Raw genomic sequence first — 26654 nt, 5'->3', positions numbered from 1 at the left:
AGGACAGACCCCAGGGAGGTTGAAGGTCCCTGGACACCCTCGCTCCACCCACAAATTCCTTGTTTTGGAGACCAGGATGCCACTGCCTCATTTGTCACTACATCATATGCAGATGATGCCTTGGGGGAGGGGGTTCTGGGCCAACCCAGGACACACATGGGCCTTTCTGGGGGATTTCTCAGTTTCTGAGAAGGAGGAAGCCTTGTAATTGCTCTAATTTCAATTTATAAATCAGGCGCAGGTCCTGCTGCTTCCGTCTCTAATTTAATGTTTCCTGCGTGCAGGCATGGTGCTGTTAGCTCCAGCCAGACACACAGCCTGAACCTCGGGCCCAGGGTCTGCGGGGCTGCAGAGGGGGCCTCAGACACAGTGGGGACCACTGCCTCCCTGGCTGAAGGTCTCCTGTGCACCCGGAGCTTGCATATATAACCCCTCTCTCAATGAGAGGGAAGCAGTGAGGTGTAGGGAACTCAGGCTGACCATGGGACCAGGCGTCCTGGGTTCTGGGTTGGAGTCCTTGTCTCCATTCGAAATGCGCAAAGCACCTGGAGCTGTGCAGTGCACACAGTAGGTGCTTAATAAGTGCTTCCGACATTATTATTTCCCTGGATACCCCTGCTGCATACTGGGGAGGTGGTCACCATTATGTCCTATTTTGCTAAAGAGAAAAATAAGTGACTCTGGTCTCACTCTCTGATCAATGGGCCTCAGTTTCCCCTTTGATACAATGAAGGCAAGCCCTGTTGAAATCTCAGACTCCCACTCATTCACTCCTTCATTCGTTCATTCATTCACCACATGTGTTGAGTGCTTACTGTGTGCTTGGCTCTGTTTTAAGCCTCGTGACACAGTGGAGTCCTGGACAGACTTGGGAACTTGACTGTCTTGGGGAGGGATTGGAAGAGAAACGAGTAAATGCATAAGAGAAAGTCCTATTGGTGAAAAGTTGAACAAAACCATCAAAACAGGGTAAAGAGGGATGAAGAGGGGAATTATTTTTATTTATGTATTTAGTTAAGAGACAGGGTCTTGTTCTCTTATCCAAGCTGGAGTGCAGTGGCGCAATCCTAGCTCACTGCAGAGTGATTACTGAAATGAGGGGAGGCTGGGGAAACACTGGAATTGAGATTTGGGGTAGGTGAGGAAAGGAGCCATTTGGACATCTAGGGAAAGAGTGCACAAGGCAGAGGGGACAGGCAGTGTACAGGCCCTGGGGCAGTACAAGCTCTGTGCAAAACCTACATATTCAGAGACACTGGCTGTCCCAATAAAGCTGTACCCTTGGCATTTCAGAATGGAGCTGCCTCCTCCTCCAGGAAGCCCTCCTGGATCTTCAGTGACAATCATGATTAGGCTGAAAAAGCAAGGCAGGGAGGCAGTCTGTGTCAGGCTCAGGGGCACCAGGCAGGGGGCAGGGAAGAGGTCTAAGAGACCCCACTCACTCACCCCAGGTCACACTCACTTGCCTTAAGGCCCCTCCGATTAGGGGGATCCCTGAGACACTAATGCTGTCCTGAGAGTTCTTCCAGGACAGTGGCACCTTCTTCTTAAAAGCTGGGGTTCAAATCCAGGCTCCACCATTTCCTGGCTGTGGGATCAGTCAAGTCACGGCTCTCTGGGTCTCAGTTTCCACCTTTGAAAATGGAGTAATAGCATAATAGTCCTAGAATCGTGGGGGTGCATATAGCAGAGGCCTAATATGTTAAGTCATCATCATAATTATTAATATATGCGCAATACAGGGCATATTTTGGACAGCACGCCCAGGGATGCTGTGTGGTTTTTGGAAAGGGCTCCACCCTCTCTGGGCGCCAGACTCCCCCAAATCCTCTCAGCAGCTCCAGGAGGGAACTGGAGGTTGAGAAAGTGTCCTCAACAGAATCCCGGCCCCTTTCCGCGAAGAGTCAGGGGTCAAAGAACAGGGAGCGAGGAAGGGTCAGGACCATGCGGCCAGCACTCCCCCAGCCCCGGGGCTCCAGGCGGTTAGCTCCGCGGAGGACCAGCTGGGCGGATTTAGCCGGCGCATCTGCCGCCTGAGCAGCTGCCGTTCTGGGGGGGGCCGGAGGGGGATTTGGGACGAGGGAAAAATCTGTCCGAGGAGAATCGCGTCTGCGCGGCCCAGCTGCCGACTTGAGCTGGGGGGACACCCCGAATCCGCTCGGACCCGGGACCCCTCCCCGGCCGCGACCGCCCCCACTTGCCTCTAGGGGAGGGGGCGTTGGGGAGGCTCTGACGTCACACGTGGCCCCAGCCAATCGGAGCTGCCCGTTCGGAGCCCCCAGGGGATTCCCTGGCCTGAGCGGAGACCCGGGGTGCAACCTAGCAGCGAGGACCCCCCAACCTGGGGTTAAAGAGAGCCTGCACCTGGCCGGGGAAACTGAGGCGGGGGGCCATTTGGGGAAGGGATGGGACCCAGGCGACCTCTCTGAGCGGCTGCCCGTGAGCCTGACTACAGCTCGGCCCAGAGAGGGCCAGGGACCCCCGGGAGTCACACAGCGGGGCGACGAGGCTAGTGGTCCTGATGGGGGCGCGCAGGCATTGGGGCGGGGCTTCCCTTCCTGGCAGGCGCCGGCAGTAAGGGGCCGAGCTCAGCCTCACCCCATCCCGGGGACCCTGAAGGCCTTCTGACCTCCTCCGGGTCTCCCCGGGCCTCCTCGGACCCGGGGCCGCAGCCCGGGCCGCACTGGGAAGAAGGTGTCGGTGGCCGCGGGCGCCCGCAAAACCCGCACTGGAATCCACCCGGTCGGAGCAGGACGGGAGCGCTGCGCTGCCAACGCGCCCGCCCAGGCCGGGGAAACTGAGGCCCAGCGGGGCGGGGCTTTGCTCAGAATCCCACGGCTGGGAGGGCGCTGCTGGCTCTGGTGACCTCGGGCGATGCCCTGCCCCTCCCTGGGCCTCCCTGGCCCATCCTGCCACTGTCCTCCAGGTCAGGGCTCAGACAGCCAGGAGCCCTGGGCGGGAGGAGGGAGAGGCCCGGCCTGACCTTGCCCCGGTCCAGGACATGAAAGACCCATTCATGGTCGCAGAAGCCTGGGTGGCAGCTGAGCCACCGGTGGGGGTGGGGCCTCCCTCAAGGCCTTTGTCCCCGAGGTCTCTCTGCCTAGAACGCCCTCCCCGCACACCCCTACCCCCACCCCCCTGCTTGGATCTATGGTCCCTCTAAGGCCTCCATGCCACCTCCTCGAGGTCCTCCTGGACCTCCAGCCAGTCTGTCTCAGCCTGCAGTTCTGTGCCCACTGGTTTCTGTATCCCCAGGCTAGACAAAAGGCACAGGGCAGATTTGTCTTGTTGACAGCTCAGTCCAGTATCTGGTACACAGTAGGTGCTCAATAAATGTTTGCTGAATGACTAGGGTGCAGAAGTACCCAGCTGGGCACAGCCAAGAAGGCAGGGGAGGGAGGGGATGCCAGGGGCTGGGCACAGCGCAGGGAAGGGAGTGTAGGTGGGAGGACGCAGATTCTAGACCCCAAGCCTTGGAGCTGGGGCTCGGCCCCCTCCCTTGTGGAGCAGGCCTCAGTGGCCCCCAGCGGGCAGGACACGGGGCGGGGTGGGGGCTGGACACCAGCAGGTGCCTTGGCTGATTTGCCTGGGATGCTGGGGCGGCCGGAAGGCGGGAAGGGCAAAACCACGGGCAGGAAGGCCTGGCTGCTCCCGGAGGTTTGTGGTCACCAGGATGGCCCTGGGAACATGCCCAGGAACTGGAAGACCTGGGCTGTCTCCATGGGTGCCAGGGAGCCTGCAGATTGCCGTGGGTGGCCTGGGGAGCGGGGTTCAAGTCCTGATACCCAGTCCCCACTGAGTGGCTGCTGGAAGCCAGTGCACAACCTGTCTGGACCCCCTGGATGGCACGGAGCCAGGGATGGGGCATAGTGGCCCCAGCACTCAGTAAGTGTGCAAGAAAAGTCACAAGCTACATAACAACAAAGTGTTGGCTGGTCTCAGTGGCTCATGCCTATAATCCCAGCACTTTGGGAGGCCAAGGTGGGAGGATCGCTTGAGGCCAGTAGTTCAAGACCAGCCTGGGCAATGTAGCAAGCCCCGGTCTCTACAAATAATAATAACAATTTTTAAAAAAATCATCTATCCTCTCTCTCCCCCATTTCTCTATTATCTATCTAAATTATAGAAAAACAGAAAAGAGGCCGGGCGCGGTGACTCATGCCTGTAATCCCAGCACTTTGGGAGGCCGAGGCGGGCGGATCACCTGAGGTCAGGAGTTCGAGACCAGCCTGGCCAACATGATGAAAGCCCATCTCTACTAAAAATACAAAAATTAGCCAGGCATGGTGGCAGTTGCCTGTAATCCCAGCTACTTAGGAGGCTGAGGCAGGAGAACTGCTTGAACCCGGGAGGCGGAGGCTGCACTGAGTCAAGATCATGCCACTGCACTGTAGCCTGGGTGACAGAGCAAGACTCCATCTCAAAGAAAGAAAGAAAAAGATAAGAAAAACAGAAAAGACAAGAAAAAATAAGTGTTTACAGAGCATCTACTGTATGGAGAGAGGCCAGAGCGACCAGGACAGCACTCAGTCCAGTGGGGGAGACGTACAGGATCACATCCACATGGGGAGGTACTTTGGACAGGGAGGGGCACTGAGGCATGGAGAGCAGCCCCTGCTGTCCTGAATTCATTCGAAGGGTCAGGAGGGTTACAGGAAGGTCTCTGAAACCTCTAGGCTCTGTCCTGGGGTCTCAAATTCATGGGGGAACCTGCAGTCCTCGAAAAACTCCTTTCTGGGCCACGTCCCACAGGGCGCTGGCGACAGAGGGGCAGGTCCGGGAGTCGTGAACCATGGAGATCTCTGCAGCCGGTTTGCTCAGGTCGAAAACCCCCTGACGCTCTCTAACTGGGTGACCTTGGACAAGACCTCCCTGTGCCTCAGTTTCCTGAAGTGTCGAGTGAATGTTGCTAAATGGAATACTTGTGGATTGAAGAAATGATCTCGTCTATGAAGGGGGCCACCCAGACCGTAGGGTTCCTGACAGCCTCATTGACCCCATGGGCTGGGTGTGATTGGGGCTGGATCCTGGGGATGCGAGTTTGAACAGAGGGGACCAGGAGAGGAAGTTGGGGCGGCTCAATTAATAAGTCCACCACCTGGACCAAAGCAGGGTGACCCCCTTGGGCCTCCCCCACAACTCACCCAAACGCCACCCACCGGCTCCGCCCTCCGCTCCGCGCCGCGGTTGCTCCGGGCCGGGTTTTGCGCGGCTCCAGCCCGGCTTTGGGGAGGTGGGGGGTTGCTGGAAAGGGGGGGCGGAGGTGGCAGAGCCGCGAGTCGCAGCGGCGGCCGCGGCGGGCGGAGGAGATGCGGCCGCGGCGCGCCCCCGGTCCGGCCGCCGCGCAGCGCCCCCCCCGGAGCCGACGCCAGCGCGCGGGGGGCCGGGGCTGAGCCCCCTCCCCCAGCGCAGCGCCGTGGGCCCGGGGGCGGGGAGAGCGCGCGCCCCCAGCCCCCCTCCCCAGCCGGGGATGCCGGGCTGAGCGGCCCGGCCGGGACAGGTGCGCGCACGGACCCCCCCAGCCCGCGCCCTCCCGCCCTCGCGCCTCCCGCCCGCGCACTCGCGGCGGCCGCGGCTCCGAGGTAAGCGCCCCGGGGCGTCTGCGGAGGGGGTTGGGGGAGGCGCGGGGATGGGGGCGTCTGTCGGCACGCAGCTGGGGGGACCGAAAGGCTGGCTGGGGTGGCCAGGTCAGGCGCTAGGACTGGGGGGCCTGCGGGCCCTGCCACTGGGAGGGGACGGATTTGGAGCCAGGGAGGGGGTTTGGGGAGCGCTAGAACGAGGGGGGGAATCTCTCAGCCACACAACTGGGGAGGGGACCGGATTGGAGAGGGGGTCGCTGGCCGTATGGAGGGATCCGGTGGGGGTCCGGTGGCATCGCTTTGGAGGGGCTGGATTTTGGCCTGGGGCGCTCCCTGAGCCTCCATTATGGGGGTGTCTAATGGCACCGCAACGTGGGGGGGGCGCTTGGATTGTTGACTGGGGGCCTGTATGTGCAGCTAGGTTGGGGGTTCTGTCGGCACCGCAGCGGGTGGAGATTTTGTCCTGGGGGGGCCCGGAGAAGACACAATAATGAGGCTCGCGGCTGCGCCGCTGGGGAGCTGGATTGGGGCCCAGGTGGGGGGTTCGGGGCAGGCAGGGGGCCTGTTGGTCGGGGGTTGGGGGTGGCGTTGGGGGGCGGGGTCCTGAGAGCCAAGTCGAGGCGACCCGGGGCTGGTGTGGGGGTCCTGGCACTGGGAGGCCCCTCCGCCCCACTTCGCGTCCGGCCGCCGCACCTTGGGCGCCCGAGTCCTCTCCGGCCTCCTGTCCAGCCCAGAACAGGACGAGTCGCGGGTCCAGGCCGCGGGGCAGGGGTCGCAGTGGTGTTGGAGGGGAGGGCCGGCCGGTCCGGATCCCCCCCGCTGCAGTGGGGGCCTGGGGGTTCGGGGGCCCCCAAGAGCTGACAAAAGGACAAAGAAAACGTCTATCTCCAAGCGCGCCGGGATGGGTGGGGGGCGCCGAGTGTGGCCCCCTCCCGCGGGCGCTGATTGGTCCCCGGGGTGGGGGTCACGTGCCCTCCTCTCCTGCTCTCCGCCTCTGGGCGCTCTCCGAGTTTGGGGCATCTCCCAGAGGGGGCGCTACTGTCATGAACCCCCACCTCTGCCCCGGCCGGGTTAATGCTGGAGCTAGGAGCGTTTGCAAGAGTCCTGGGGTTGGGGGAGGGATTCGCAGACCCTCACCCCCGCCGCCATGTGGCCCTCTCTCTCTCGCTGAGGTCTTTGACATCCTCTACCTGAGGCTGTCATCTTTGACCCCTAGACTGGAGCGGAACGGGGACTTGGAGTTACTGGGGTGCTCTGAGGCTTTGGGGTTCTGGGTTTGGGTTTAAGGAGGGAGGAGGGAGAGAGGGACTCATGGCTATGGTGACTGAAGGGGGCCCCTGCCCCATTTGTAAAATTGCATTTCTGTTTTTCTGTGTTCCTTCAGCTTGTGAGAAGGTCCAAATTCCCTCTCCAAAATAAAAATTCAGGACCCCTGGGGCATCCCCCTTGCCCCCAAACCCTTTCCCACATCCCGGGAGACCAGTTTCTTTCAGGCGCGGGACTTCAGGATGTACCTGAACAATTGCTTTAAACTCTACATAGGGAGAGCACAGGTTGTGGGGTGGGTGGTGGGGAACGGCTGGGGCCAAGGCTGAGTTGGAACTCACCTGGGAGGGGGTCTTAAACTCTCCGGGAAGTTGTCTGGGAGTCACTGCCACCCACACAGAGACGCCTCGGATATTGGGTAGGTGGCAGCCTGGCGTCAGCCTCTTGTCTGTTCTGAACCGGCCCATCCCAACAGCAGGTGGGGAAACTGAGGCCCGAGGAAGCCGTTGAAACCCAAGAGCTCTCCTGCATCCCAGCTCCTCCTAAGGGTTGCCCTGAAGCTCTGCTCCTCCCTTCTTCCCCTTGACTCTGGGCTATGCAGGAGCTTTGAGAGGAGGCGCTTAGCTGTGTGGCCTCAGGCTGGTCCCTAGTCCTTTCTGGGCTTCAGTCTCCCCAGGAGATGCGCTTTGGTTTTGGACTGGAGTTGGGGGAGGTGAGGCAGAGAGGGGTCGCTTGAGACTGTCTTGATCTGTGCCTGCCCCATTTTGCCTCTGGTTCCCCCACCAGACTCGGCTGGGGCTGAGCCCCCACAGGATCTTAGGGTCTGTGTCACCTTCTCTGCTTTGAAGTGAGTTGTCTCCAAGCCTAGGTATCCAGTCCCCCCAGGAGGGGCCTTTCCCCCTGAGACCTCAGTCCTCGCCTCTGACCGATGGGCATAGAAGGGGCTGGAGATGTGGCATGTCCTCTGCAGTGGCCACACCAGGCTGGCAGCCGGAGTTTGCTGGGGTTACCAGGACTGGGCCTGGAAGATAGAAATCAAACTGCCCTTGGAAAGGTGACCATGACGTCAGCCTGCAGGACAGGTGAGCTGGATCCCTGGGGACTGAAGGATGTTGCTGGTCACCGCCCGTCTCCTGGGAAGGAAGGTGTCCCGAGCTGACCCTGGGCGTGGCCCTGTCCTGTGGGCCCGGAAAGGGAGATGCTGGAGGGAGAAACTTCCAGGGCAGTGGTCAGGACAGGTGGGAGCAGGGAAAGCTGCCTGGAGGAGGGAGTACTGGGACTGGGCTTGAAGGAGAAGGATTCTGCCTGGAGGAGAGGGGGACAGGCATTGCAGGCAGAGGGAACAGCAAGGATCATCACAGTGGGGTATGTTGGAGGAGCCCTGAGTGGCTAGACTATTTAAGAGGACCATGAGGTAGGCAGTAGCCTTGAATGCCAAGCCAAGGAGCAAACTTTATCCCAAGGGCAATGGGGAGCCATGGAAGGTTATAGAGCAGGGGGAGGGGCATGAGTCACATTTCAGATCTTGAGGAAGGGTAGCTACGAGGAGACAGGCTCCTTGGAAACCAAATGCATTGCTGGAAGGAGTGGTGAGCCGCCCCTCGTGGGAGGCAGGCCAGAGGGGTTGGACGGCTGTCTTTGCAGAATCCTGGATAAATAATCCTGATATTGGTCAGCCCCAAGTGATCTCCTGGATTTTTTTTTTTCAATTTCCAGGTACTGTGGGTTTTCTGAACTGCTGTCGTGTTTGAGATAGCAGGTTCTGAGAGTCTCAGGTATTTAAGGGGTTGTGGGCTCTCATACTGTGACTCCTCCAAAACCCAGCCGTGATTTGGTTGGGCTGTGGCTTTCTCTTGGCCATGGTCGTGCATTTCTTCCCTCCCTGTCTTCATGTAGCAGCAGTAGGGAAACTAAGGCTCAAAGCAGCCCAGGATTCAGGCCCCAGCCACCGGCCCCATGTCCTTTGGCTGAATTATCCCAAAACAGACCCTTCACCCTAGACACCCTCACCATCATGCATGGTGGTGCTGGGGTCGGGTGTGTGACCATAGGAACCCAGGCACGCAATCCTTTTTCGTTATCACGGTCCTTCATCACCTCTCCTCCAGGGACATCCAGGTGAAGTGGCAGACATTAGGACAAGTAAGACAGTGGCGGTGGCTCACGCCTGTGATCCCAGCACTTTGGGAGACCGAGGCGGGAGGATCACTTAAGGCCAGGAGTTCAAGACCAGCCTGGCCAACATGGCGAAACCCCGTCTCTACTAAAAATACAAAAATTAGCTGGGCGTGGTGGCTCACGCCTGTAATCCCAGCTACTCAGGAGGCTGAGGCAGGAGAATCGCTTGAACCCAGCAGGCAGAGGTTGCAAGGAGCTGAGATCACGCCACTACACTCCAGCCTGGGGGACGGAGCAAGACCCCGTCAAAAAAAAAAAAAGGAAAAAGAAAAAGTAAGAGACTTGGGAGGCTGGGGACCACCCTTAGGACTCTTTGGCAGGGACATGGGGCCCTACTACTTGCCACCCTCAATGCTCCTTCTCTATCTGGCCCCAGGGTCCAAAGCTGGCCACCCCAGGGCCCCACTGGGAGGCAAGGCCCACTCTAGACTACATTTCCCAGGATGCACCATGGCCCAGCTAAGCCAGCCTTCCAAGGGCGGACCTAGGAGGGAGCTTCCCAAATACAGGAACCCAGAGGAGGATTGTGGGTTCCCAGGTGGGCCTGGTTCCAGGCAATTAGGTCCCTCAGTCAGTCAACAAATGCTGCCAGTGGTCCCCATGTGCTGTGTCCTGTGCTGGGTGATGCTAGGATCCCAGAGAGGTAACTTTAACTCCTCTGTCTAGTTGGAGGGGCTTCCAGGCCAGAGGAAGAGAAACAGGGGCAGGCACTGGCCACCCGTGCTACACAGGTTCAGGGCTAGGGCAGAGGGAGCAACTGGGGCTAGGGAAAGCTGTACCCTGCCTCATGGATCAGGGAAGATGTACCAGGAAGGGGCACTGTAGCTAGGGCCATGATGGATGTTTAGGAGTTCACTAGGGGGCAGCCATATGTTTTCTGATGATTGCAGAAGAACCTCCCTCCCCTGAAGGCCATGGACTCAGAGCCCCTGGGGAAGCTGAAGTAGCCATTCTGAATTATCGCCCTCATAGGCAGCCGTAGCATTTGGATCAGACTGACTTGAGATTGAATCAGTTTTTTCTCTCACTCACTCATGCCCCCTCTCTGAGCCTCAGTTTCCCCATGGGTAAAACAGGGGTTGCTGTTCTGCCTCCCTTAGGGTTGACCATTTAAACAAGAGGTTGCAGGCAAAATGCCACATATAGTTCTGTTGGGTTTCTGACTCCAAGAAAAGGAACAACCTTGCAAAGCAGAAACGTGGAGCTTCTGGCCATGATCTCATTTGGAGCTGTGGGAGCATTGCTTGCATTTAACAAGTGGACTGATGTTTAGTGAGCACCTATTAAGTGCCAGGTGCCGCGGACCCAGCAATGACCAAGGCATAGACTACTGCATCCTGCCCTTGTCGAATTCCCAGCTGGGTGGGGGGACAGGGGAGCACAGACACTAACTAGAGAAAGGGCAAGGTAAATCAGGTATAGTCAGTGCCCTGAAGACAGTTATCTTGCAAGTGGCTGAGAAGGGCGGGGCTGTGTTCACTGAGGCTGTCGGGGAGGGTGTCTCTGAGGAGATGACATTTGAGCTGAGACCTGGAAGATGAGAAGGAGCTGGTCATGCAGAGATCTTGGGAAGCAGCACTTCAGGCAGAGGGCACGGCCCGTGCAAAGGCCCTGGGGCAGGACCTCACCTGGCGTGTTGGAGGAACACCAAGTAGGCCCGTATGGCTGCAGCAGAGTGTGGAGGGGAGAGTGGGAGGAGGGAAGGGCAAGGAGAGTACGGGGCCAGTCATGCAGGGCCTCGTGGGCTGCAGTGAGGATTTGAGCTTCGACCCCCAGGGAGGTGGGAGCCATGGAGGGCTGCGGGAAGAGGAGGGACAGGACCTGACTCTTGGTGCCCTCTGGTGGCAGCTTTGGGGAAGACAGACGGGGGCGAGGCTGGAATTGAGGACCAGGTCCTGGTAATAATTGATGGGGGCCGGCCAGGCAAGGGTAATAGAGGGGGGCAAAGTGGATGGATAGGGGACAGATTTTTGGAGTCACCCACAAAACTTGCTGAGATGGATGTGAAGAGGCTGAAAGCCCCTTTCTCTGGGGGCAGGGCAGTGCTGTGGTTAACAGCGCAGCGTCTGGACTCCTGGGCCCGGGTTCAGATCCCAGCTTGGCCATTTCTGGGCTGTGCGACCTTGGCCCCATCCCTTGCCCACCCTGGCCCCGAGTTTTCCCACCTATGGAATGGTCAGAAGAGCCCCTGTGACCTACCCCGCTGGGCTCAGTGAGGGACAGGGCTGGGAACACGGGGTAGGCACCCTGTAAGTGTTTGCTGTTGTCCCTCTTTGAAGGTCGGAGCCTCAGGCTCTGGGGAGCAGTGAGGCACAGATGGGGATGACAGCCTCCCTGAGATGACCCAGCAAACTGGGGGCCCCTTCCCCTCGAACACTGTTCTCCACAGTCTGACGGTTCTCAAGCCCCATCCCCCAGCACCCACGTCACTCTGCCAGCCCCTCCATCATTCCTGAGCCCTGACTCACCAGGACTTGTGGTCCGCTCTGACCCCGGGGCCTTTCCCCTGGGACCTATTTCCCGCCTTTGTCTTCTTCAAGTTCATTCGCCAGGTCTTCCGTTCCCAGCAGCACTTGGCACTCCCTGAGACCTCCACCCCCATTCCCCACCACCTCTCTCAGCGGGGCCCCCTCCAGGCCTCTCACACTGGTCCCGGCCACCTGGGGATCCCCAGCCTCTTGGGAGGGGCAGAGACTGGAGGAATTCTGGGGGAGGAGTTCAGCAGTGCGGGGAAGGGCACCCAGAACCCCAACTTGGAGGGGAAGGGCTCCTCATTTTCTGCCCCTAGATCAAGCCCCCAAAGGCCGGGCCATCTTTCTTCCTCCCTAAGTGGAGTCCCTATAACAGAACCTTATTCTCCTCTGAACTCCACAACTGGGTCCCAAGCTCACGACCCACCCCTCTGTACTTCCTCCAAATTGGGTCTGAAGGGAGGACCTGTCCGTCCCCAAACCTGCTTTGGAATCTGTGGGTGCTCGACGCCCCAGCCCCAGCCTGGATTCCCTTGGAGCCCCAGCCCCCTCGAGCCACCCCCTCCTGGGTCCCTTAATTACCTGCTGGGTATAAATGACACTTTAATTTCCTCTGAATGGTCGTTGCAACCCCCCCCACCGCCCCACCCATTCCTAATTACAAGTTGCTGTTTCCGACTTGCCTCCTGGTGGCCCAATTTCAAAACAGTGATTAAAATTAATTACCTGGGGGCCCCCTCCCCGGAGGGGAGGAGCCCCAGGAGCCCCAGAGATGCATCCACGTCCCCACTGGAGGTTCTGCCTGGGCTCCCACACCCTGGCTTCCCGAGTGGCCTGGGGACAGGGACAGCCTCTCTCTGGGTCTCTGCTTGCTTATCTGTGAAATATTTCAGCTGGCCAGATGCGGTGGCTCACGCCTGTAATCTAACACTTTGAGAGGCTGAGGCGGGTGGATCACTAGAGATCAGGAGTTCGAGACCAGCCTGACCAACATGGTGAAACCCTGTCTCTACTAAAAATACAAAAATTAGCCAGGCAAGGTGGCACGTGCCTGTAATCCCAGCTACTTGGGAGCCTGTGGCAGGAGAATCGCTTGAACCTGAGAGGAGGAGGTTGCAGTGAACCTAGACTGTGCCACTGCACTCTAGCCTGGGTGACAGAGCAAGACTCTGTCGCAAAAAAAAAAAAAAAAATTTAGGGTGTGCCATCATCACGGGCAGGTAGCACATTGTGAGCACTTGGAAAATGTCAGCAAGAGGCGGCCTCACACAGTGGCTCACGCCTTTAATCCCAACACTTTGGGAGGCTGACTCAGGAGAATTGTTTGAGCCCAAAAGTTCAAGACCAGCCTGGGTATCATACCCCCTACAAAAAATACAAAAAATTAGCTGGGTGTGGTGGTGCACACCTGTAGTCCCAGCTACTCAGAAGGTTGAGGCAGGAGGATCGGGTGAGCCTGGGAGGTCGAGGTTGCAGTGAGCTGAGATCACGCCACTGCACTCCAGCCTGGGTGACAGAGACCCTGTCTCAAAAAAAAAAAAATGTCAGCAAGAAGCAAGATCACGTTTGCATCCATGGCACCCTTATGTGCTATGTGACCTCAGCAAAATGGCTTAACCTCTCTGAGCTTCAGTTTTTCCATCTGCAAACAGAGATGAGGGTGCTGGTCTCTGAGGGTTGATGCCGGCAAGAAATAAGTTCATATGTGGGAAAAGCATGGCGCATAGTAGGTGCAGTCTTCCTAAATCTGATCTTGAATTCCTTCTCTCCTGGCCTGCTGTGAGTTGAATGTGGAAGGCGGCTCAGGGTAGAGTCCCATCCTTTGCAAAAGAGACACTCGGCATTAATTGAGTGCTTCCTGCATGCAGGGCTCTGTGCCAAGCCCTGGACATGCACAACCCTGAGCATGGCTGAGTCTCCAGCCATATTGGTGCACAGTAGGTGTTTAAGAAGTCTGGAATGAACATATCCTTGCAACTATTTTAATTAATTTATTTATTTATTTGAGACGGAGTCTTACTGTCACCCAGGCTGGAGTGCAATGGTGCAATCTCAGCTCACTGTATCCTCCGCCTCCCAGGTTCAAGCGATTCTCCTGCCTCAGCCTCCCAAGCAGCTGGGATTACAGGCGCCCACCACCACGCCCGGCTAATTTTTGTATTTTTAGTAGAGACGGGGGGTCCACCATGTTGGCCAGGCTGGTCTCGAACTCCTGACCTCAGGTGATCTGCCCGCCTCGGCCTCCCAGTGTCGGGATTACAGGCGTGAGATACCGCGCCTGGCCAGCTATTTTATTTTTAAATTATTATTATTATTATCATTAGTAGTATTATTTAAGTCAGGGCTCTCACTCTGTCGTCCAGCTGGAGTGCAGCGAGGCCGTCACAGCTCACTGTAGCCTTGACCTCCTGGGCCCTAGTGATCCTCCCACCTCAGCCTCCCAAGTAGCATGTCGCACCACACTCAGCTAATTATTATTATTATTATTTTTTAGAGATGGGGTCTGGCTGTGTTGCCCCGTCTGGTCTTGAACTGGCCTCAAGAGATCCTCCTGCCTCAGTCTCCCAAAGTACTGGGATCACAGATGTGAGCCACCTCGCCCAGCCTCCTTGGAACTATTTTATAAGTGGGGGCTCTTGCTGGGACATTCGTTCAGCTGATTTGTTGAGCACCTACTGTGTGCCAGGCCCCATGCTGGGCACTGGAGTCACAGCAGTAACTGAGACAGACCCCTGCCCTTGTGGAGCCAATATTTTTATCCTCATCTTTCACAGGAGGAAACAAGCTCAGAGATGGGAGGGTTCTAACCCAAGGCAACACAGCAGTCACGACAGTTAACTAAGCACCTATCATGGGTTGCTCATTTACCCCTCATGAGAAGCCGATGTGGATGGTTATCATGCTTGGTTCGCTGATGGGGAAACTGAGGCTCTGAGAACTGAGGACTCAGGAGGGAAGGTCAAGAGTGGAGGGGAGGCCGGGCGCGGTGGCTCACGCCTGTGATCCCGGCACTTTGGGAGGCCGAGGCGGGCGGATCACGAGGTCAGGAGATCGAGACCATCCTGGCTGACACGGCGAAACCCCGTCTCTACTAAAAATACAAAAAATTAGCCAGACGTGTGTGGCAGGCGCCTGTAGTCCCAGCTACTCGGGAGGCTGAGGCAGGAGAATGGCGTGAACCCGGGAGGCGGAGCTTGCAGTGAGCCGAGATCGCGCCACTGCACTCCAGCCTGGGTGACAGAGCTAGACTCTGTCTCAAAAAAAAAAAAAAAAAAAAAAGAGTGGAGGGGAGGCCGGGCGCAGTAGCTTAGGACGGGCGCAGTGGCTCACACCTGTAATCCCAGCACCTTAGGAGGCCGACTTGGGCGGATCACCTGAGGTCAGGAGTTCAAGACCAGCCTGGCCATCATGGTGAAACCCCAACTGTACTAAAAATACAAAAATTAGCCAGGTGTGGTGGCATGCACCTGTAATTCCAGCTACTCAGAAGGCTGAGGCAGGAGAATCGCTTGAACCCGGAAGGTGGAGGTTGCAGTGCGCCTAGATTATGCCACTGCACTCTAGCCTGGGCAACACCAGCGAGACTGCTTCAGAAAAAAAAAAAAAAAAAAAAAGTGGAGGGGAGGCTCATAGGCCGCCTCCCAGGCTGGGCAGGGATGAGTTAACCGACATCCAGTAGGATGGGGGACACGGGGGCCTCTCTCTTCTGCCCCACCCCTCATGCCTGGGCCCCAGGGACTCCCTCCAGCCTTCCTGCCAAGTTCCTAGACAGCCCCAGAGCCTGGCTGGGCTGTGATGGGGGCGACCGAGGCAGCTGGAGGGGCAGCTGTAAGCAGAGCCCGTAACCAGACCTGGACGGCCCTGGGGCCCGGCTGCCGGGACCAGGTTACTCGATCCCCCGAGGGATGCTGGCCCCGGAGCCAGAATCCTGGGGCGGCCCGGACGATAGGGAGCTCCTTGTATGGAACTGGAGGCAGACATCCCGCCCTCGTCCCTTGTGCTGTGGCAGATGGAGAAACGGAGGCTTCAAGCCTGCCTGGGATCACTGTCATCTTGGAACAGAGAGGCCCAGAGAGGGCGTGTAGCTGGCCTAAGGTCACACAGTAAGGTCATTTAACCTAAAGTGAATGCCTGTGTGCCAGGCCCTGAGCTAGTGTCTTTATTTTATGGACAACAGCAAAAAAAAAGATGCGGGCAGGGCACGGTGGCTCATGCCTGTACTCCCAGCAGTTTGGGAGGCCGAGGTGGCAGGATCACTTGAGGCCAAGAGTTCAAGACCAGCCTGGGCAACATAGCGAAACCCCGTCTCTACAAAAAGTACAAAAATGAGCTGGGCATGGTGATGCACACCTATGATCCCAGCTTACTGGGGAGGCTGAGACAGGAGGATTGCTTAAACCTGGGAGGTTGAGACTGCAGTGAGCTATGACGGCACCACTGTACTCAGCCTGGGCAACAGAGCAAGACCCTGTCCTTAGAAACAAACAAGAAATGAGGCTGAGTGTCGTGTCTGAGTGAAGGGGAGAGCCCCAGGAGTCCTTTCTGTGCTGTGCCAGCCTCCCCATCCACCTTGACCTTCTGTCTCTTCCTCTAGTGGTCTCAGTCTCCACGCTTTTTCCTCTGCAGTTCCTTCCCCTTGGAGCACCTTCCTCACCTTGTCACGAGGTCTCCCCTTCGACCTTCAGGCCTCAGCTCAAATGTCCCCTCCTCTAATCATTCCTCATGTTTTTATGGTCGTGCTTATTATTGTCAGAAGCTATCGAGTTCCGATATTGGTTAACGTGTGTAGTGTACCCCCGTCTCCCCACGGGACTGGGAGCCCCATAAGGGTAGGGCTTTGTAGCTGTCTCGGTCACAGCTGTGTCCCCATGCCTGAACACATGTGTCTGGTATACAGCTGGTGCCAAATAATTATTAATCCAATGAGTAAGTAAGTGACTTCCAATTTGGGGTACAGGGCGCCAGAGCTGGATGCAGTTGCTTCCAAGTTGGCGGTTGAGCGAAGATGAGGGCAGGGTAGTTGTGGCTGGGGGAACCCAGGGAAACTGAGGCCCAGCCAGGGCAGTCAGAGAAGGCTTCCTGGAGTCGGGGACACGCATGCATGGCCTTGACTGGTAAGCAGGAGTCAGCTGTAGGGCTTGGAGGACAGAGCGTGAGGTTACTATGTCTGGCTGGTTGGGAGGGCAGCTGGACCTTGAGGAGGCTAAAAAGGTTCCCCAGCAGAGGGGACAGCCTGAGCCAAGGTCTGCAGGGAGGGGCTGGAAATGCCTGATAGTAGGTGAGGGCAAGAAGAAGCTTCAAGTTATTCCCAGGGTGGGAGGTGTCCTTGAACACTGAGGTATAAAAAAAATTGGTTCTAGGCCGGGCGCGGTGGCTCAGGCCTGTAATCCCAGCACTTTGGGAGGCCGAGGCAGGCGGATCACGAGGTCAGGAGATCGAGACCATGGTGAAACCCCGTCTCTACTAAAAATACAAAAAATTAGCTGGGCGCGATGGCGGGCGCCTGTAGTCCCAGCTACTCGGGAGGCTGAGGCAGGAGATTGGCGTGAACCCAGAAGGCGGAGCTTGCAGTGAGCCAAGATCGTGCCACTGCACTCCAGCCTGGGCGACAGAGTGAGACTCCATCTCAAAACAAACAAACAAACAAAATTGGTTCTTCTTCTGTGGGGCACTGGGGAGCCATGGTAGGCCTTTGAGCAGGGGAGTGGCAGGGTCAGAGCTGAGCTTGGGATATGCAGTAAAGGGATGGCTTGTTGGTGGTGCCGGGGTCAGAGAGGAGAGTGGGCATTGCCCTTGAAGGACAGCTCAATACCCAGGCTAGGAATTACCCCTGGGACAGAGCCAGGGACCAAGCCAGCTTCTGGAAGTAAGAAGGATTCAAGGTAGATTGAAAGTAAAACTTCCCTGCTCAGGCAAAAAAGAAAAAAAAAAAAAAAGGGCCAGGCACGGTGGCTCACGCCTGTCATCCCAACACTTTGGGAGGCTGAGGCAGGCGGATCACCTGAGGTCAGAAGTTCAAGACCAGACTGGCCAAACATGGTGAAACTTTCTCTCTATTAAAAAGACGAAAAAATTTAGCCAGTCATGGTGGCGGGTGCCTGTAGTCCCAGCTACTTGGGAGGCTGAGGCAGGAGAATCGCTTGAACCCGGGAGGTGGAGGTTGCAGTGAGTCAAGATCGCACCACTGCACTCCAGCCTGGACAAAAAGAGTGAGACTCCATCTCAAAAAAAAAAAAGAATTTTAGCTACAGACCAGCTATCAGGAAACAAAAAAATGTAGAAAAAAACATATTTCACCTGCCGCACATTGGTTCAGATTACATTCTTTCTTCCTCATGGAGGTGCTTTAGGGTTGAATTTTAAATCACCCACAGTGTACAGAGATGGGGAAACTGAAGCCTGGAGAAGGGAAGTGACTGTCTGCGGTCAAACAGCTGAGGCAGAGCCGGGGTTTGAACCTGGGCTGTGCAGTTCTGGAGCCAAAGCTCTTCTTCTGGGACTTCTTCAGCTGCCGATGTTTTCTGTCCGGGCCTCAGTTTCCCCAACCAGCCAGTGAGATTGGGCTGAGCAGGGCGGGGCAGGATGGCTTGTCGATGGTGCCCCTGGTTCACTGGGGTTTTTTTTTTTTTTTTTTTGACAGAGTCTCACTCTGTTGCCCAGGCAATGGCGCAATCTCTGCTCACTGCAACCTCCGCCTCCTGGGTTCAAGTGATTCTCCTGCCTCAGTCTCCCGAGTAGCCTGGGATTACAGGCATGCACCACCACGCCTGGCTAATATTTTTATTTTTAGTAGAGAAGGGGTTTCATCATGTTGGCCAGGTTGGTCTTGAACTCCCGACCCCAGGTGATCCACCCACCTCAGCCTTCCAAAGTGCTGGGATTACAGGCGTGAGTCACCATGCCCGGCCCCAACAAGCAATTATTTTAATTTTATTTTATTTGAGACAGGGCCTTGCCGTGTCACTCAGAGTGCAGTGGGGCAATCGCAGCTCACTGCGGCCTCCACCTCCTGGGCTCAAGCGATCCTCCCACCTCAGCCTCCCAAGTAGCTGGGACCACAGGCACACATCACCACGCCCAGCTAATTTTTGCATTTTTTGTAGAGATGGGGTATTTCTATGTTGTCCAGGCTGGTCTCAAACACCTGAGCTCAAGTGATCCTCCCACCTTGGCCTCCCAAAGTGCTGGGATTACAGGCGTGAGCCACCGTGCCCGGCCCCAGGTGATTATTTTATTTGGGGAATCCACGCATGAAGCTGCACCTCTCAGAGTTTGTGATGCACGTGGATCCCTGCAGGATCTTGATCAGGTGCAGGCCTGGGTGAGCGGGCCTGGTCCTGGGATTCTGCATTTCTGACAGTGGTGCCCACACAGCTGTTCCCAGACCCACACTCCCAGCAGCACACGGGCCTGCGTGTGATGGGGGAGGAGAGGAGGGCATAAAGTGGGGAGGGCAGAGGCGTCTGGGTTCCAGGAAGGTCCAAGGGGAGCCTCTCTTAGATGACCTGAAGTGAGGAAGTGAGTTGCGTGTGTATCTGGGGGAACTCCCAAAGCAGAGGGCACAGCCTGGGGTAAGGCCCTAGGGCAGGACCATGCCTGGCCTGTTGGAGGAACAGCAAGGAGGCCCTTGTGGCTGGAGCCAAGTGATGAGTGGGAGAGAGGGAGGAGGAGAGGGTAGACAGGGCATGGGGCAGGTTGTACAGGGCCTTGTGGGCTGCAGGGAAGACCCCGGCTTTGACCCCGAGGCAGGTGGGAGCCATGGAGGGGTAAGGGCAGAGGAGAGACGGGACCTGACTCATGTGCTCAGAGGCGTCCTCTGGTGGCTGTTTCGGGAAGGACAGCCTGGGGATCAGGGCGGAGGGGACTGGGCTGGGCTGAGCTGGGCCAGGCAGGCGGGGATGTGAGTGGCCACGGCATGGACGGGAAGCGGTGAGAGTTCTGCGTAAACTCGAAGGCAGAGGCCGCAGGAGTGGCTAATGCTGGCTGTGAGGCTGGTGGAATGGGGTGTGGCGGGGAAGTCAGGATGAGCTCCAGTTGTGTCCTAAGCCATCAGCTGAGACGGAGGACGCAGAAGTGGGGCCGGGTCGGGGGACATCGACCATCCGTTGACCCCGATTGGATCGGTAGCCTCAGTGCCACTCCAGCGAGAACCCCATTAGGGTTTTTGTTTTATCTGTTGTTTGTCTTGGAACTCACAACCGGATCCTAAAACTTACACCGAAGCCTCAGGGGCCAAGAACAGCCCAGACGCGCTGGCCTGGAGGAGAGAAGGTTGGGGGAGAGTTCCCCCAGGAAATTCAGGCCCATGACGGGGTGACAGTAGCTAGGGCGGCGCGGTTCTGGGGTCGTGCCCCGTATGGCTGAGGGTGAGACTTCATGAGCCCCGTGCCTGGAGCGGCTGAGGGGAAGTTGAACCCCGAATCCGGAGCTGGGGGAGGCCTGGCTACAGTCAGGACGGTGGGTGTCATCGGATATAGACGGGGTTTCGGGACCCAGGAGCGTACAAGGCCGCCCAAGAGGGGCGTGAGTCGAGGGAAAAGAGAGACGGAGAGCTGGCGGTTGAGGGGGGTGCAAGGCGGGACAGAAAGCTGGGAGTGAGGCTGGCGAGTGTGGGGCATGGGGGTCGCCAGAGGACAGAGCTCCCAGGAAGAAGAGCTAAACTAGGGGGTCCCCGAGGACGTTTCCATTCCTGAGCTTCAGTTTCCACATCTGCACAGTGGGCTCATGTTTGCAGAGCTGGAGTGACAGCTGGGGGCCTCCTGGAGGGAGCTGTTGCTTTGTGGCCCCTCTCCCCCAACAAGGCGCCCCCACAGAGTACATGCAAGTCCCCAGGGTTGCAGGCAGGAGCCCCCCAACCCCTGGGGCACGCAGACATGTGGGTGCACGGGTGCCCCGGAGAACCCCGCACGCCACGGGGCGCACCCGCCAGCCCCGTGGCTCCCTGTGACCAGGTGTCCGGCAGCCGCAGCGTGGCAGGTGTTGGGGCCGCTTCTGAGCAGGCAGGCGCCGAGCGGCTGCTGGCAGAGGCTCCTCGAGTTTCACGGAGAGAAGCAGATGGTCTTGGGGATAGGGGGAGGCGCACAGGCGTCGGGTAACCCCAGATCGAGGGGGTAAACTGAAGCTAAGTAGATGGGGTTCGTTGTGAAGTGGCCTGGACTCCCCGCAGTAAACATTTGGGGTTCAGTTGTGTGTTATTATCAAAATAAGTAAAATGGAGCAGGATCTGTGGGCTCCGCTGATCCCTGACTTCGGGCAAATGACTTTACCTTTCTGTGCCTCAGTTTCTCTGTCTGTATAAGGGGCCTATTAAGAGAACTCACCAGGCCAGGTGCGGTGGCTCACGCCTGTAATCCCAGCACTTGGGGAGGCTGAGGAGGGTGGGTCACTTGAGGCCAGGAGTTCGAAACCAGCCTAGGCAACATGGTGAAACCCCATCTCTACTAAAAATACAAAAATTAGCTGGGTGTGGTGGTACATGCCTGTAATCCCAGCTACTCGGGAGGCTGAGGCAGGAGAATTGCTTGAACCCGGGAAGCTGAGGTTGCAGTGAGCCGAGATCACGCCATTGCACTCCAGCCTGGGCGAAGAGCAGGACTCTTGTCTCCAAAAAAAAAAAAAAAAAAAAAAAGAGCACTCACCCCTTGGGGGTGTTGTGAAGATTAAATGAGTTAATTTAAGTACTTATGACAATGCCTGGCACCTAGCAAGTGCTTTGTGTTTGCTAGGTGTTTTGTTGTTGTTGTTTTTTTGAGACAGAGTCTCGCTGTGTCACCCAGGATGGGGTGCAGTGGCGCGATCTCGGCTCACTGCAAGCTCTGCCTCTCGGGTTAATGCCATTCTCCTGCCTCAGCCTCCCGAGTAGCTAGGACTATAGGCACCTGCCACCACGCCCAGCTAATTTTTTTGTGTGTTTTTAGTAGAGACGGGGTTTCACCGTGTTAGCCAGGATGGTCTCTATCTCCTGACCTCGTGATCCGCCTGCCTTGGCCTCCCAAAGTGCTGGGATTACAGGCGTGAGCCACGGCGCCTGGCCTGTTGTTATTTTATTTTTTTGAGACAGGGTCTCACGTGGTTGCCCAGACTGGAGTACAGTGGACCAATCATAACTCATTGCATTCCTGAACTCTTGGGCTCAAGCCATCATCCTGCTTCAGCCTCACAAGTAACTGAGACTAGAGGCATGTGCCACCACGCCTGGTTAATTTTTTATTTCCTGTAGGAATTGTGAGGGGGTGTCTCACTATGTTGCCCAGGCTGGTCTCAAACTCTTGAGCTCAAGCAGTCCTCTTGCTTTGGCCTCCCAAAGTGTTTTACAAAATTAATACAAAAATTAACCGGGCGTGGCAGTGCACTCCTGTAATCCCAGCTTCTCAGGAGGCTGAAACACGAGAATCGCTTGAACCTGGGAGGTGGAGGTTGTAGTGAGCCGGTAGTGAGCCACTGCACTCCAGCCTGGGCCACAGAGTGAGAATCTTTTCCCCCCTCCCCGGCTCCCTCCCCCCTGCCCAAAAAAAAAAAAAAAAACCCAGGCATGGTGGTGCACACCTATGGTCCCAGCTACTCGAGAGGCTGAGGCAGGAGGATTGCTTGAGTCCGGAAGTTCAAGGCTGCAGTGAGTGGTGATTGTGCCACTGTACTCCAGCCTGGGCAACAGAGCCAGACCCTGTCTCTTAAAACAATGTTTAAAGAAATAGTTTCTAGAGTTAAATATTGTTCTGATAAAACTCAAGATGAGGCCGGGTGCTGTGGCTCACACCTGTAATCCAAGCACTTTGGGAGGCTGAGGTGGGCGGATCATGAGGTCAGGAGATAGAGACCATCCTGGCTAACATGGTGAAACCCCGTCTCTACTAAAAAATCCAAAAAATTAGCTGGGCGTGGTGGTGGCGGGAGCCTGTAGTCCCAGCTACTGGGGAGGCTGAGGCAGGAGAATGGCGTGAACCCGGGAGGCGGAGCTTGCAGTGAGCCGAGATCGTGCCACTGCACTCTAGCCTGCGTGACAGAGCGAGACTCCGTCTCAAAAAAAAAAACAAACCACAAGATGAAAGACAGACCATATTACACCAATTAGGATGGCTACTGTCAAAAAACTGGAAGATAGCCGGGTGTGGTGGCTCACACCTGTAATCTTCGCACTTTGGGAGGCCAAGGTGGGTGGATCACCTGAGGTCAGGAGTTCGAGACCCGCCTGGGCAATATGGTGAATCTCTGTCTGTACTAAAATTACAAAAATTAGCCAGGCATGGTGGCACCCGCCTGTGGTCCCAGGTACTCGGGAGGCTGAGGCGGGAAGATCGCTTGAACCCAGGAGGCGGAGATTGCGGTGAACCAAGATCATGCCACTGCACTCCAGCCTGGGTGACAGAGCGAGACTCCATCTCAAAAAAATAATAAGAATGAAGGAGGCTGGGCATGGTAGCTAACATCTGTAATCCCAGCACTTGGGGAGGTCAAGGTGGGTGGATTGCATGAGGTCAGGAGTTCAAGACCAGCCTGACCAACATGGTGAAACCCCATGTATACTAAAAATACAAAAAAAAAAAATTAGCCGGGCGTGGTGGCGTGCACCTGGAGTCCCAGCTACCTGGGAGGCTGAGAAAGGAGAATCGCTTGAACCCAGGAGGCAGAGGTTGCAGTGAGCTGAGATCGTGCCACTGCACTCCAGCCTGGGAGACAGATCGAGACTGTCTCAAAAAAAGAAAAAAAAAAAAAGGGAAGGAAACCCTGACACAGGTCACAGTGTGGATGCATCTTGAGGCAATCCCGCTCAGTGAGAGAGCCAGACACGCAAGGACAAACCACTGTGTGACCCACTCCTAGGAAGTCCCTAGAGTCATCAGGTTCACCCAGACAGTAGGATGGGAGGTGCCAGGGGCTGGGGAGGGGGGTGAGGAGTGAGTGTTTCATGGGGACAGAATTTCAGTTTGGGAAGCTGAGAAAGTTCTGGAGATGGTGGTGGTGATGGGTGCACAATTATGTGGATGTTCTTAATGCTAGTGAACTGTGTGTACTTAAAAACAGTTAAGGGCCCACCGGGCACCGTGGCTCACAACTGTAATCCCAGCACTTTGGGAGGCCGAGGCGGGTGGATCACCTGAGGTCAGGAGTTCAAGACCAGCCTGGCCAATATGGTGAAACCTTATCCCTACTAAAAATACAAAAATTGGCCGGGGGCAGTGGCTCATGCCTGTAATCCCAGCACTTTGGGAGGCCTAGGCGGGCGGATCACGAGGTCAGGAGATTGAGACCATCCTGGCTAACATGGTGAAACCCTCTCTCTACTAAAAAATACAACAAAAATTAGCCGGGTGCTAATTTTTGGTGGTGGGCACCTGTAGTCCCAGCTACTCGGTAGGCTGAGGCAGGAGAATGGCGAGAACCCGGGAGGCGGAGCTTTCAGTGAGCCGAGATCACACCACTGCACTCCAGCCTGGGCAACAGAGTGAGACCCTGTCTCAAAAAAAAAAAAAAAAAAGTGTAAAGAAATAGAATTAAATATTATTCTGATAAAACACAAGATGAAAGACACACCATGTCATACCCATTAGGATGGGTATGTCAAAAAACTGGAAGGTGGCCGGGCATGGTGGCTCACACCTGTAATCCTCACACTTTGGGAGGCCACGGCGGGTGGATCACCTGAGGTCAGGAGTTCGAGACCAGCCTGGCCAACATTGTGACACCCCGTCTGTACTAAAAATACAAAAATTAGCTGGGCGTGGTGGCACGTGGCTGTGGTGTCAGGTACTTGGGAAGTTGAGGCGGGAGGATCACTTGAACCCGGGAGGCAGAGATTGCGGTGAACCAAGATCATGCCACTGCACTCCAGCCTGGGTGACAGAGCGAGACTCCATCTCAAAAAAATAATAAGAATGAAGGAGGCTGGGCATGGAGGCTCACACCTGTAGTCCCAGCACTTTGGGAGGCCGAGGTGTGTGGATTGCATGAGGTCAGGAGTTCAAGATCAGCCAGACCAACATGGTGAAACCCCATGTATACTAAAAATACAAAAAAAAAATTAGCCGGGCGTGGTGGCGTGCACCTGGAGTCCCAGCTACCTGGGAGGCTGAGAAAGGAGAATCGCTTGAACCCAGGAGGCGGAGGTTGCAGTGAGCTGAGATCGTGCCACTGCACTCCAGCCTGGGAGACAGAGCGATATTGTCTCAAAACAAGAAAAAAAAAAAAAGGGGAAGGAAACCCTGACACAGGTCACAGTGTGGATGCATCTTGAGGCAATCCCGCTCAGTGAGAGAGCCAGACACGCAAGGACAAACACTGTGTGACCCACTCCTAGGAAGTCCCTAGAGTCATCAGGTTCACTGAGACAGTAGGATGGGAGGTGCCAGGGGCTGGGGAGGGGGGTGAGGAGTGAGTGTTTCATGGGGACAGAATTTCAGTTTGGGAAGTCGAGAAAGTTCTGGAGATGGTGGTGGTGATGGGTGCACAATTATGTGGATGTTCTTAATGCTAGTGAACTGTGTGTACTTAAAAACAGTTAAGGGCCCACCGGGCACCGTGGCTCACAACTGTAATCCCAGCACTTTGGGAGGCCGAGGCGGGTGGATCACCTGAGGTCAGGAGTTCAAGACCAGCCTGGCCAATATGGTGAAACCTTATCCCTACTAAAAATACAAAAATTGGCCGGGGGCAGTGGCTCATGCCTGTAATCCCAGCACTTTGGGAGGCCGAGGTGGGTGGATCACCTGAGGTCAGGAGTTCAAAACCAGCCTGGCCAATATGGTGAAACCTTATCCCTACTAAAAATACAAAAATTAGCCGGGTATGGTGGCGGGCACTTGTGATCCCAGCTACTTGGGAGGCTGAGACAGGAGAATTGCTTGAACCCGGGAAGCTGAGGTTGCAGTGAGCCGAGATCACGCCATTGCACTCCAGCCTGGGCGACAGAGCAGGACTCTTGTCTCCAAAAAAAAAAAAAAAAAAAAAAAAGAGCACTCACCCCTTGGGGGTGCTGTGAAGATTAAATGAGTTAATTTAAGTACTTATGATAATGCCTGGCACCTAGCAAGTGCTTTATGTTTGCTAGGTGTTTTTTTGTCGTTGTTTTAATTTAAATTAATTTTATTTTTTTTGAGATAGGGTCTCACTCGGTCGCCCAGACTGGAGTACAGTGGACCAATTATAACTCATTGCATTCTTGAACTCCTGGGCTCAAGCAATCATCCTGCTTCAGCCTCACAAGTAGCTGGGACTACAGGCACGTGCCACCATGCCTGGTTAATTTTTTATGTTCTGTAGAGATTATGGGGGCGTGTCTCGCTATGTTGCCCAGGCTGGTCTCAAACTCCTGAGCTCAAGTGATCCTCTTGCCTTGGCCTCACAAAGTGCTTTACAAAATTAATACAAAAATTAACCGGGCGTGGCAGTGCACACCTGTAATCCCAGCTTTTCAGGAGGCTGAGACACGAGAATTGCTTGAACCTGGGAGGTGGAGGTTGCAGTGAGCCGAGATCATACCACTGCATCGCAGCCTGGGTGACAGAGTGAGACTCTGTCCACCTTCCCCTGCGTCCCCCACCCCCGGCAAAAAAAAAAGTCAGGCTTGGTGGTGCACACCTATGGTCCTAGCTACTCGGGAGGTTGAGGTAGGAGGATTGCTTGAGCCTGGAAGTTCAAGGCTGCAGTGAGTGGTGATTGTGCCACCGTACTCCAGCCTGGGCAACAGAGCCAGACCCTGTCTCTTAATGTTTAAAGAAATAGTTTCTAGAATTAAATATTATTCTGATAAAACACAAGATGAAAGACACAGCATGTCATACCCATTAGGATGGCGACTGTCAAAAAACCAAAAGGTGGCCGAGCGTGGTGGCTCACACCTGTAATCCTCGCACTTTGAGAGGGCAAGGCGAGTGGATCACCTGAGGTCAGGAGTTCGAGACCAGCCTGGCCAACATGGTGAAACCCCATCTGTACTAAAAATACAAAAATTAGCTGGGCGTGGTGGCACGTGGCTGTGGTCTCAGGTACTTGGGAAGTTGAGGCGGGAGGATCGCTTGAGCCTGGGAGGCAGAGATTGCTGTGAACCAAGATCATGCCACTGCACTCCAGCCTGGGTGACAGAGCGAGACTCCATCTCAAAAAAATAATAAGAATGAAGGAGGCTGGGCATGGTGGCTCACACCTGTAATCCCAGCAGTTTGGG

General features: G+C 56.1%; 1 long non-coding RNA gene across 4 annotated transcripts, besides 6 other annotated features; it reads right to left on the bottom strand.

Annotated features, from left to right (window-relative positions):
* Positions 1-980: 980 nt before the first annotated feature.
* LOC105372249 (uncharacterized) lies at positions 981-6484 on the bottom strand. 4 transcript variants are annotated; one of them, XR_001753848.3, is made up of 3 exons: positions 6273-6484; positions 1463-1633; positions 981-1354 (listed from the first exon to the last, which is right to left on the bottom strand). It is a non-coding gene; the product is annotated as an uncharacterized LOC105372249 (long non-coding RNA). The 4 variants fall into 4 exon arrangements; XR_007067102.1 differs by lacking the exon at positions 6273-6484 and adding an exon at positions 5145-5230; XR_936272.3 differs by lacking the exon at positions 6273-6484 and adding an exon at positions 2599-2708.
* Positions 2637-2826: a silencer, noted in NCBI's record as "silent region_9894". NCBI's record gives its function as "represses an Ori minimal core promoter by ATAC-STARR-seq in GM12878 lymphoblastoid cells {active_cell/tissue: GM12878}" and the evidence as "EXISTENCE:reporter gene assay evidence [ECO:0000049][PMID:35858748]".
* Positions 11164-11756: an enhancer, noted in NCBI's record as "H3K27ac-H3K4me1 hESC enhancer chr19:4575301-4575893 (GRCh37/hg19 assembly coordinates)". NCBI's record gives its function as "activates a minimal SCP1, AML or CMV promoter by ChIP-STARR-seq in naive and primed H9 embryonic stem cells {active_cell/tissue: H9 hESC(naive and primed)}" and the evidence as "EXISTENCE:reporter gene assay evidence [ECO:0000049][PMID:30033119]".
* Positions 11414-11708: a silencer, noted in NCBI's record as "tiled region #6646; K562 Repressive DNase unmatched - State 5:Enh". NCBI's record gives its function as "represses a minimal TATA promoter and a strong SV40 promoter by Sharpr-MPRA in K562 cells {active_cell/tissue: K562}" and the evidence as "EXISTENCE:reporter gene assay evidence [ECO:0000049][PMID:27701403]".
* Positions 18988-19488: an enhancer, noted in NCBI's record as "H3K4me1 hESC enhancer chr19:4567569-4568069 (GRCh37/hg19 assembly coordinates)". NCBI's record gives its function as "activates a minimal SCP1, AML or CMV promoter by ChIP-STARR-seq in primed H9 embryonic stem cells {active_cell/tissue: H9 hESC(primed)}" and the evidence as "EXISTENCE:reporter gene assay evidence [ECO:0000049][PMID:30033119]".
* Positions 19174-19468: an enhancer, noted in NCBI's record as "tiled region #3644; HepG2 Activating DNase matched - State 12:CtcfO". NCBI's record gives its function as "activates a minimal TATA promoter and a strong SV40 promoter by Sharpr-MPRA in HepG2 cells {active_cell/tissue: HepG2}" and the evidence as "EXISTENCE:reporter gene assay evidence [ECO:0000049][PMID:27701403]".
* Positions 19174-19468: a silencer, noted in NCBI's record as "tiled region #3644; K562 Repressive DNase unmatched - State 8:EnhW". NCBI's record gives its function as "represses a minimal TATA promoter and a strong SV40 promoter by Sharpr-MPRA in K562 cells {active_cell/tissue: K562}" and the evidence as "EXISTENCE:reporter gene assay evidence [ECO:0000049][PMID:27701403]".

Source organism: Homo sapiens, chromosome 19 (genome assembly GCF_000001405.40).
Source record: "Homo sapiens chromosome 19, GRCh38.p14 Primary Assembly".
Lineage (NCBI taxonomy): Eukaryota > Metazoa > Chordata > Mammalia > Primates > Hominidae > Homo > Homo sapiens.
The sequence above is the reverse complement of the archived record's forward strand: the minus strand, read 5'-3'. Positions and strand labels throughout refer to the sequence as shown.